Source organism: Homo sapiens, chromosome 1, assembly GCF_000001405.40.
Source record: "Homo sapiens chromosome 1, GRCh38.p14 Primary Assembly".
NCBI lineage: Eukaryota > Metazoa > Chordata > Mammalia > Primates > Hominidae > Homo > Homo sapiens.
The window spans coordinates 96,708,592-96,720,694 of record NC_000001.11 but is presented as its reverse complement, the minus strand read 5'-3'; the positions used below and the strand labels follow the sequence as shown (position 1 = coordinate 96,720,694).

Below are 12,103 nucleotides of genomic sequence, written 5' to 3'. Positions count from 1 at the left end.
TCTCCTTCAGGCAAAGCTCTTATCCTTTGCTAATTGGAATTTCATATACTAAATGATATTGTGTATAATTTTTAGAATTTTTTTTTTTGAGACCCAGTCTCGCTCTTGTTGCCCAGGCTGAAGTGCAATGGCGCAATCTCGGCTCACTGCAACCTCGGCCTCCCTGGTTCAAGCGATTCTCCTGCCTCAGCCTCCCGAGTAGCTGGGATTACAGGCACGCGCCACCACGCCCAGCTAACTTTGTATTTTTAGTAGAGACAGGGTTTCTCCATGTTGGTCAGGTTGGTCTCGAACTCCTGACCTCAGGTGATCTGCCCTCCTCAGCCTCCCAAAGTGTTGGGATTACAGGCGTGAGCCACCGTGCCCGGCCATAAATAATATTACTTTTAAATTGGATAGACCCTTAAAGAGCATCTTGTCCAAACACTTTGCTATAGAACTCTTCAAAGCACCCAAATTTTTACAAATTCTTGATTTGCCTATGGGATTGTCAATCGTTAAAAAAAAAAAAAAAAAAGGCCGGGCACGGTGGCTCACGCCTGTAATCCCAGCATTTTGGGAGGCCGAGGCAAGCAGATCACCTGAGGTCGGGAGTTCAAGACCAGCCTGACCAACATGGAGAAACCCCGTCTCTTCTAAAAATACAAAATTAGCCGGGGTGGTGGTGCATGTCTGTAATCCCAGCTACTCGGGAGGCTGAGGCAGGAGAATCGCTTAAACCTGGGAGGCCGAGGTTGCGGTGAGTCAAGATCGCGCCATTGCACTCCAGCCTGGGCAACAAGAGCGAAACTCTGTCTCAAAAAAAAAAAAAAAAAAAAAAACCACATATCAAATTTCCTACAATAACCACTTCACCTTAAACCTTAAAATAAAGGATCTGTTATTAGTGCCACTAATAATCACTTTTCACATATTTGTGGTTTCATACATGTGTTTTCACTCAACAATTGAATGTGCAAGCTACCAAAGGGCGGGAACTATGGTATTAATTCTTGGTATTCCCCACATTCGCTCGATCGATATTGATTGATTGGTTCTCACTTTATCTTGGCAAAGACAAACCATTCTATGAGGAGGGAAGCTTGTCCTTAGGCAGCAGAAGAAATTACAGTGTTCACAAAAACACATTTTTCTTTATTTTTTTTTCGAATACGGTACAAGACCACAAACATACAATAGTTAATCTGCTTGCTTATTTAAGCTAACAGTTTCTTGGAAAAATGCAAGGTAATTTACAAGTCAAGGCACATAAAGTACTAGATTAAGACATGAAGTGAAATAAGAATAAAACAAGAGGACAAAGCATAGCATGAGTCAGGAATGAGGCTAATGCAACAGTGTACACAAAAGCATATTGATTAAAGCCTGGATTCAGATTTGAGCTCTTTCGTTTAATACCTGTGTGACATTAGGCATGTTCATTAACCTCTCCAGGAAACTTTCCTTTGCTGAATATAGGATTAAAAATAGGGCCTTTGGACCTGGCACGGTGACTTAGGTCTGTAATCCCAGCGCTTTGGGAGACCGAGGCGGGCAGATCACGAGGTCAGGAGATTGAGACCATCCTGGCCAACATGTTGAAACCCCACCTCTACTGAATATACAAAAATTAGCCGGGCGTGGTGAAACGTGCCTATAGTCCCAGCTACTCAGGAGGCTGAGGCAGGAGAATCGCTTGAACCAGGGAGTCGGAGGTTGCAGTTAGCCAAGATCGCGCCACTGCACTCCAGCCTGGCGACAGAGAGAGGCTCCATCTCATAAGAAAAGAAAAAAAGAAAAAAATAGGGCCTTCATCCTAGATGACTGTGAATTAAATACCTTAACGTATCTAAGGCACCTCCCTAGCTCAGTAACTACTTACTTACAGTAAATACTTAGCAAAGAGTGTTATCATCATGCTTATTATTTTTGTTATTACTATTATTCGTTTGAGAAGGAACAGGCCACAAATTTGTAGCTTAGATTTTAACAGCCAACAATATTCATAAAAATAAATCTATATAGAGATTTTTCACAAAGGTTAAACGTGTCACTAAAGTAATTAGATTGGCTGGTATCTACAGGAATAAATCTGGGAAAATGTCATAGATAAATTTCTAAACCTCTATCCAAATCTAAATTTGTATGATTTTATGAGTTAACCATGGGATAGATTATTAATCTCAACATTAGCAGATGGCCAACCTTTGTAATATATGACAAGATTCTATTAGTGTTTATGGATTCCTAACAAAATAAGGCAATAAAAAGTGAAGTGCCTGTACAGTATTATTTTCATACCCATATCTTTTTGCAGTATAATGATTTGTTCTTTCCCATCTGAATGGTAAATGTTTTGACCTTTTACAGAGATTTACACTTATGTGAACAATGATTAAATTTCAGTGTATGCTAAGCTAAAATGAGGCCTAATATTTATGCAATAAAAATAGGAAGTAGGATTTGGTTCATAATGTTCTGATTTTATTCTTAGCCCCACCTCTTGACTGCTTATACTACCAAAGACATCATTTACATTTTTCAGCCTGTAGTTTCTTCATTTGAGAAGAAGGAATCATAATAAGATCAATTAGATAGTATTTTACTTTTGAATAAGTGATCAAAACACAAAATAGAGGAGAACAAATTCAAAAGACATGAAATCACATACAACATTTCCAGAAAAAACAAATATGTAGAGATAGAAAGTAAAGTGGTCACCTAGAGCTGGGAGTGGGAATGGGGAATAACTGTAAATGGGCACAAATTTCGCTTCAGGATGATGGAAATGTTTTAAAATTAGATTGTGGTGATGATGGTACAACTCTGTAAATATATTAAAATTCATTGAATTAAACACTTAATACTGATAAATTTCAGAGGATGTAAATTATATATCAATAAAGCTGCTGTATAGCTATTGGCTTGGGGCTTCTTTCACCAATATGTAATTCTCTCCTATATTGGATCTCTGGTTTCCTAGATCCCATATCTTCTTTCCTGATATATTCCCTCATCAGGAAATACACCTTCCAGAAGGTTCCAGAGAAAAAAATCCATAGGAAACACTTTTTTTTAATATATTGTGTATTCAGAGATATGTTTATTCTATTTTCACATGTTATTGATAGTTTGGAAAGCAATGCTTTTTCTCAGTACTGTACTTGTAAACTTTATACTATGTCTACTTGGAGGGGGTGTCATAAAGATAAAAAGCATATACTTTTTACTCCTGCTCTCCAGCTACTGAGTTCCATGTTCCAGAGGCAAACCATCTTACCAGTTAATTACATATTTTTTCAGAGATGTTCAAAGACATATATTGATTATATATATATAGTTTTTCTTTTGATTCAAAAGTGGTAACTATTATGCACACTATTCTGAAACATTTTTTCGACTTTAAAAATTTACATCTTAGAGATCTTTCCTTATCAGTATGTTTAGAGCTGCCTCATTCTTTATATACACCTGCATAATATTCCACTGAATAAGTAAATCATGATTTATTTATCTAGATCATATTGAGGAACATTTAGATTGCCTCCATTCTTGCTATTTACACACAATTCTGCAATGAATATCCTTGTTTCTGAGATGTTCCCTGCAAGTGTGAATATGTCTTCTGGATAAATACTATAAATAAAAATTACTAGATAGAGTAGAGTATATTTTTTATTTTAAAAGAGACTGTCAAGTTGCCTACATGAGCGTGAGCCTTGGTGTAAAATATTAGCAATTCCTACCATTTAAAAAGGGAAGCGTACTGATTTCTTTAATACATAAGGAGTTCCTACAAATACAAAATCAAAAGCCAACAGTCAAATAGAAAAATTGGTAAAGCATATGAATAGATTATGACATATTACAGGAAAGTAAAAACAAATATGCTCAGCCTCATTTTAAAGCAATTCAAGGTGAAACTGTACTAAGATACTTTTTTCACTTGTCAACACCCCTTGTAGGCAGACTAGCACAAAGCTTCTGAGTGCAGTACTGAGAAAAAGTATTCCTTTCCAAACTATCAGTAACATATGAAAATGGAATAAACATAAATCTAGATACACCAAATGTCAAAAATTTGTTTTCTATGGATTTTTTTTATTTGGAATTTTCTGGAAGATGTATTTCCCAATGAGGCTAATGCACCAGGAAAGAAGATGTTGTACCCAGGAAACCAGAGATCCACTATAGAAGAGAAGAAAATTGTATGTTGGTGAAAGAAGCTTCAACAGCTATGCAGCAGTCCTATGGTTACAATGGAATATGAGACCAGAAGGCTCAAGGAAAGACGTATCTGAGAAAAATATGGAACTTTTATAGATAAAATATAATATGTCTGTATATGTTTAGTACAGGTTTGTGGTGCTATTGGTAAGCTTAGGGAAAGCATTAATCAAAAACACATGAAATATGTTTTAAATTAACTACAGGGTAAGGAAAAAGTTGTAAAGAAATATAATTATAGCACACTCTGTGGCTCGGTTTGTGAAAGTAATTACATCTTCACAATAATATAAGCACTGAATACTAATAAAATTAAGATTGTGAAACAATTTTGTCAGAGAAGGAAGAGAAATACGGATGTGCACATATGTGTATGTGGTAGGGTTATAAACTCTCATCTTCAAAAGTAGGAAGTCAGCAGAATATGTCTAGAATTAATAGGTGAGAAAATGGCACACAAACATATTTTTCAGAAGTATGGAGGTAAATATCACGATGATTAGGGAGAATTGAAAAGTATACTCTTCTATCTCTTATGCTTCTGGGGCATCGCACCACAGGATGAGAAATAAAAAGAAGAGTATACTTTTGAATTTTGTTTTTGTTGTAAGCCAAAAATAAAATTTGAAGCCCCTCCCCTCCAACTGAATGGACTCCTCCTCTTGGCCAATGGCATTCCAAAGTTAACCCAAAACACGTGTTCAGGCCCTGATGGGAATGGGTGGCCTCACTATACCCTCCTGTCTTCAGAATCCTGTCTTCAGGAGCTGACCAGCATTAACATCAAAACAGAGATCTTAACACAATCTATTCTCTCTAAAACCTGCTACCTGGAAGCTTCATCTGCATAATAAAAACTTTGGTTTCCACAAGCCCTTATCTTAAACCAGACCCTCCCTTCTATTGATTCCAGGTCTTTAGATAAACTCTTTCAACTAATTGCCAATCACCAAATCTTTGAATCCACCTATGACCTGGAAGCCCCTGCTTTGAATTATCCTGCCTTTTCAGATAGAACATGTATTAATTGATATCTTATGTCTCCCTAAAACATATAAAAACAAGCTGTAGCCTGACCACATTGGGCACATGTTCTCAGAACCTCCTGAGGCTGTCATAGACATGTCCTTATCCTTGGCAAAATAAACTTCTAAATTGATTGAAACCTGTCTCAGATACTTTTGGTTTAAAAATGTCATGTAAATCTTCCAAAACTATTTACTTTTTAAGCTATGGGCATGTGTTACTTTGATAAAAATAAATTTTACATTAAAAAAGAGAAGGAATTAGATGGCAGTGAGCAAAGGACCGTTTTAGCACAAACATTGCCTCTTTTGTATTCAGCAATAGTGACTGCTTATCTCCATGTTTACTGAAAAAAGCTCAGCATAGCTGGCTGTCCTTCCTATATTGCGCACATAATAAAGATTATTCTTGGAAGAGAACACAATAGTTTGAGTGGATCAGCAGTTTTTAGAATGATCATACATAAAGACCTAAACTAGGGGAGAAAATGAGAAAAGTAAAGAAAAATACACAGAATAGTAAAAGATGGGAAAAAATGCTAAATACCCAGGAAACAACATCATTTTGCTTTGTAATATTATCAACTATGAAATACAAAAATCTTATACAATCCACATCATAATGTATGTGGCCTTATGCAAACAGCCACATAGATGAAAACAAAGAAAGTGATTTGCAAATAAAAATACTGTAGTTGAGCCAGGCATGGTGGCTCACGCCTGTAATCCCAGCACTTTGGATGGCTGAAGCAGGTGGATCACCTGAGGTCAGGAGTTCTAGACCAGCCTGACCAACATAGTGAAACCCTGTCTCTACTAAAAATACAAAAAATTAGCTGGGTGTGGTGGTGGGCACCTGTAATCCCAGCTACTAGGGAGGCTGAGGCAGGAGAATCACTTGAACCCAGGAGGTGAAGGTTGCAGTGAACCAAGATTGTGCCATTGCACTCCAGCTGCCCGGGCAACAAGAGTGAAAAAACAAACAAACAAACAAACAAAAAACTGTAGTTTAAGTCAACATACATGTTTTAACCTCATACCTGGAATGAATAACACTTCAAAACTAAATTCTTTGAAAACGTCACAAAGAAAGGAACTACAACAAATGAAAGCCATCAGCCTTTTCAAAATCTTTTAATATTTCTAAAGTTTTCAAAGTAGTTTTAATTCTTTACAGTAGCAATGAAGAACTAAGAAATGAAGCTGAAAATAGTTCCAATTTGGTTGTCTCTTAATTGTTTTGTAACAGATGTCTCTGTTCAAGGATTGTCACTTCAGACTATGATCCCCTCACCCCTATACCCATTTTCAATTATAGAAATAAAGTATCATTTTGAGGAAGGGGAAGGGAATATGATTTTGTTCTTATTTAATATTTACAGTGACGTATGTTTACCAAATTTGCAAATGACAAATATATTGGGAAGATAGAATCAGCATTCCAAATGATATTGAAAGGAATATAAAATGAATATAAATGGAAAGTCTCTCATAGGTTAAAAAATCGAGCTACTCTCTTCATAAAAGCAAAGACATAGAGTCAACCTAAATGCCCATCAACTATAGACCGGATAAAGACAATGTGGTACATATATACTGTAGAACACTATACAGCCATGAAAAAGAATGAGATCACGTCCTTTGCAGGGGGAGGAAATTATCCTTAGCAAACTAACATAGGAACAGAAAACCAAATACTGCATGTTCTCACTTATAAGTGGGAGCTAAATAATGAAAATATGAACACATAGAGAGGAACAACACACACTAGGGCCTTTAGGAGAGTGGAGGGTGGGAGGAGGGAGAGGGTCAGGAAAAATAACTAATGGGTACCAAGCTTAATACCTGGGTAATGACATAATCTATACAACAAACCCCAATGATGCAAGTTTACCTATGTAACAAATCTGCACTTGTAACCCTGAACTTAAAAGTTAAAAACAAAAACAACACACACAAAAAATTGCAAACTAGTAAGTATGCTCAATTTTCCATAACATCAAACAACTTTTGTTATTTCCCATTTTTATAATGTATATGAATTATTTCTTGAGATTGTAGTGGTCTAGCCATAGCATTTCTATTCATTTATCCATTATATAATTAATTCATTAATTCAGTCAGTACTTACTGAGCACTTACTGTACGCCAGATACTGTTCCAGGCACTAAGGATACAACAGTAAACCAGAAGTAAAAAAGCCTTTCTCTCACAAAACTTACATTGTAGTGGAAGAGATAAACTATGAGCAAGTAGACAAATTAAATGTTTTTGAGGATGGTAAGAGTTTTGAAGGAAATATAACAGGTTAAAGAAATAGTCGCTGGGTGAGGGTACTGTTTTATAAAGGTGGTTAGAGAAGGATGTTACAGCTCTGAACAACAAAAAGGATTAATTTTTCTTTAAAAAATTGAATGAACTTATAGAGAGAGACAGTATACTACTGTGGATTTATACACCCATTCCTAATTCTGGTTTTTAGAAATTCTCCTGTTCACTTAACTTAAATGGGAACTTGCCAACTAGAAAGTCCATTGATGTACACAATGGCCCTATTGCTTTAGTCTTTTGTTTTTATTTCTAATTGACAAATAAAAATTGTATGTATTCACAGTATTAAAAAAAAAAAAAGCAAGCTGCATAAATACTTTCCATATAAGGAGATGTGTGGCTTGATAACAGTCCCTGTAAAGAAATCATGAGGCATTGACCCAAAGCAATTACAATCTTAGGTTTTGTTAATGAAGTAAGCATTCAGTTAAGGTTGTCATAGTCTCATCGTGTTCTACTCAATTTTGCCCACAAATTATGTTGAGTAAGAATAAATATGAAGAAAACAATTCTCCTTATACTAGGATGATAAGGGAGGGCATTCTGATCGGTAGCTTAGTGTTCATTCTGTGCTCTTGTTGTGGAGTAGCCATGCAAGTTGGGTAGGTTTGACCCCTTTCCCAGCTCCAGAGGTAAACCAATCAAAGTAATCATTCTCCTTTCCTGGTGATAGTTTCAGGTAATTCAGACCTAAAACCAATCAAAGCATAGCATTTCCTTGAATCCAGGAGTTGGTTCAAAGGTGAGTCAACAAGCATGAAATGTATGTGTGATGATAACACAAATGTATCCAATGGAAGCATATAGCTCTGATCAATGTTGGCAGCCACACTAAAACGCAAAAGTTGCTTACCTAAACATAAAGCCTACAGAAAGAGGAAGGAAACTCTTGTGTCCCAACAATCTATTCTTTTTTTTTTTTCCTGAGATGGAGTCTCACTCTGTCACCCAGGCTGGAGTACAATGGCTCCATCTCAGCTCACTGCAACCTCTGCCACCCAGGTTCAAGCAATTCTCCTGTCTCAGCCTCCCGAGTAGCTGGGACTACAGGCACACACAACCACGCCTGGCTAATTTTTGTATTTTTAGTAGAGACAGGGTTTCACCATACTGGTCAGGCTGGTCTCGAACTCCTGACCTCAGGTAATCTGCCCGCCTCGACCTCCCAAAGTGCTGGGATTACAGGTGTGAGCCACCGCGCCCAGCCCCAACAATCTATTCTTAATAGGAGAAAACCAGGGAGATTCATTTAAAATTATAAAATCATGTTACTGCTCTGCTCAGAATCTAGATATGGAACCTGCTTGCATTCTAAGCAAAAGCCAAGGTCCTTACAAAGGTTTATAAGCCCCGTCATCTCTATGACCTCATCTCTAACATCTCTTCACTCATTGCTCACCAATACACTGGCCTATTTTGCTATTCCTAAAGCATGCCTGACACTGTCTTACCTTAGAACCTTTGTTTAAGCTCTTTCTCTGCTCTTCCCTCAAACTGCCCTGCTTCCCTCTTTGCCTAGACAACTCCCACATTCATAGGTCTTTATTCAAGTCTTCCCTTCTCAATGAGAAATATCGTGGTCACACTATTTAATACAGCCAATTGCTATTCCTCCCTGACAATCTTAAACCCCCTTTTCTTGCTCTATTCTTTTTTCAAAGCATATATTATATGGTAATATGCTATATAATTTATTTAGTTTTACATTTATTGTTTACTATCTGTCTCCCTCCTCTGGAATACAAGTTCTAGAACGACAGTTTGTTTTGTCCTTGATGTCTCTCAAGTGCCTAGTACAAATGCCTGGGACGTAGTAGACACTCTCTAAACATGTGTTGAAGGATGAATGAGTAACTGAGCTGCTGAATCACCCACTTTCTGAAGACTGACTCTGATATGAGCCAAGGTATTCCTTTACTGCTTTATACATTCAGAGAACAAATTTTTTTTTAGACAAATGAAAGCCAACTGACTGCTAAAATAGTGAAGGATAGGGGATCCATGTCCAAGAAAGAATGTTTGAAGGAGTTGGAGATGTTTACCATGGGGAAGACTAGTGAAGAACATGTTATCTTGTAATAAATAAAGGGCTGACATACAAAAAAGAGGAACTAGGCATGTTTTTATTGTTCTACAAAGCAGAATGGATTAAAGTTATAGAGAGGCAAATTTCAGCTCAGCTTAAGAATGAACCTTCTAACAATAAAACTGCTTCATACTGGAATGAGCTGCCTCATGCTTTAGTCAGCTCTCTACTATTATGTGTGTTCAAGCAGAGGCTGAATGCATCTGTTAGAGAGATGGCAGGACAGATCACTGTACTGGGCAGTGGATTGGATTTGGTGATCTTTTTTAAGTCTGTTTCTACTCTAGAATTTACTGTGAAAGATTTTGGGCTGGGTGCGGTGGCTCACGCCTGTAATCCCAGCACTTTGGGAGGCCGCGGCGGGCGGATCATAAGCTCATGAGTTAGAGACCAGCCTGGCCAACATGGCAAAATCCCATCTCAACTAAAGATACAAAAATTAGCCGGGCCTGGTGGCGGGCGCCTGTAGTCCCAGCTACTCGGGAGGCTGAGGCAGGAGAATCACTTGAACCCGGGAGGCAGAGGTTGCAGTGAGCCAAGATAGTGCCACTGCACTCCAGCCTGGATGACAGAGGAGTGAGAATCCATCTCAAAAAAAAAAAAAAAAAAATTTCGATGTGGCCACTTACGAGGTATCGGCTTAGTCCATAAAAAAATCCTTTTTCTGTATGAATCTCTTTCCTAATTCCTTGACCCTCTTCAAACAGATGGGCTTTCAACAGCCATATTTGTTCTGTGTGAGCCCAGTCTTTTAGGCCATAGCTGATTAGATCAGGAATGGGCCGCTTATCAAAGTGTGCCAGTCAGATTCTTCCACACGGAAGTTAAGAAATAAGAGAAAAGACTCTGTTGGCCCTCTTTTTTCATTAGAAATGTAACGTCAACTCAGAAATAGTGGATAGCCAGTTTCTACAATGTGGGCTAAGAGGAGAGATAACTGATCTAAAGAAGGGAAAAAAGAATGAAGCTGATGTAGAGAGAACAAAACTAAGTGACAGAGACTATATCTACAATGGCTTTCCAGTTCCTAGTTCCAGTATTTCCTAAGATCCAAAGCTAATCTTTCCCTTGAGTCTCTCTCTCTCTTTGTCTCTGTCTCTGTCCGTGTGTGTCTCTCTCTTTTCTTTAAGCCAGTCAAGTTATTTCTATGACTTGCAACCAGATTCATAACCAATAAAACTTTTATTTTGCTTTTAACCTCTTTTTATCTGTATTTAAGTATCTGAGTTAATCAATGAAATCTATCACTTATATAAAAAAGTAAAAATAAGATTCTCTCTACACATTAATTGTAATTGCATACACTGTGAATTAATTGAAAACAATGAAGCCAGGTGCAGTGGCTCACACCTGTAATCCTAGCACTTTGGGAGGCCAAGGCAGGCAGATCACCTGAGGTCGGGAGTTTGAGACCAGACTGACCAACATGGAGAAACCCCGTCTCTACTAAAAATACATAATTAGCCAGGCGTGGTGGTGTGTACCTGTAGTTCCAGCTACTTGGGAGGCTGAGGCAGGAGAATTGCTTGAACCTGGGGCAGGGCGGAGGTTGCGGTGAGCTGAGATGGCACTATTGCACTCCAGCATGGGCAACAAGAGCGAAACTCCATCTCAAAAAAAAAAAAAGAAAACAATGTCATATGACATTTTTTGCAATGCATTACTTGCTTTACCATCACTACCATCACACTCATAGCTGACAAGAAGTTCTAAAAAAATTACGATAGCAGTTCTACGATGCTGAGTATTTTAGGGCTGCACGAAAGTACTATATCTTTCTATTTGGGTATTACGAAACCATTATTATGTCCTACTCACTTTGAGAAGTATTAGTATTTTTGATTCCTAGCCTTTCTCTAGGCTGTTTTATGTTCTTTCAGGTTTAGATGGTGGTATTGTGAACACGATAAAACCAAAGTTACAGATCAAAGGAGGAGGCTAAACATTTTTGAAAAGTAGAAATGGCACATAAGTTCAGGGATAGGGAAGAAAGGCTTTTTTCTTTGACATTGTTTGCAAATAAGAAAAGCAGTAACTATCAAGTTTACTTCAAGTTTTGGGGTATGGGAGTTTATAAGGATTTATAAGGAAACAAGCACAATCATTTGACCAGGACTCCACCATGTGAATTGGGCTCATAGAAGTCAGATCTAAATCCTGACAAGATGATTTTGCCTTTACTAATCTCCCCTTCTTCAGTGCACTGGAACAAAAACACTGGTGTGCCGGCAAAAGTTTAAGAAACGGCTCTTTGGCAGAGAAGCACTGCTTCATTGTGTCTGCTGATTTGCTTAATGTAAGTACTCCCACTATGGCCAATTTCAAGCTACAAATATGATAAACACAGAGTTGGGAAGAGATGCACATAATTAGTCCTCACGGGCCAGTACTAGCTGGCTCTAGCACACTGCTCATACAGGCCACCTTGTTATATCTAGAACATGCTGTCAAGCAG

General features: G+C 37.8%; 2 annotated features.

The window, feature by feature from the left end:
- Positions 4,035-4,962: an enhancer, noted in NCBI's record as "OCT4-NANOG-H3K27ac hESC enhancer chr1:97181289-97182216 (GRCh37/hg19 assembly coordinates)". NCBI's record gives its function as "activates a minimal SCP1, AML or CMV promoter by ChIP-STARR-seq in naive and primed H9 embryonic stem cells {active_cell/tissue: H9 hESC(naive and primed)}" and the evidence as "EXISTENCE:reporter gene assay evidence [ECO:0000049][PMID:30033119]".
- Positions 4,963-5,891: an enhancer, noted in NCBI's record as "OCT4-NANOG-H3K27ac hESC enhancer chr1:97180360-97181288 (GRCh37/hg19 assembly coordinates)". NCBI's record gives its function as "activates a minimal SCP1, AML or CMV promoter by ChIP-STARR-seq in naive and primed H9 embryonic stem cells {active_cell/tissue: H9 hESC(naive and primed)}" and the evidence as "EXISTENCE:reporter gene assay evidence [ECO:0000049][PMID:30033119]".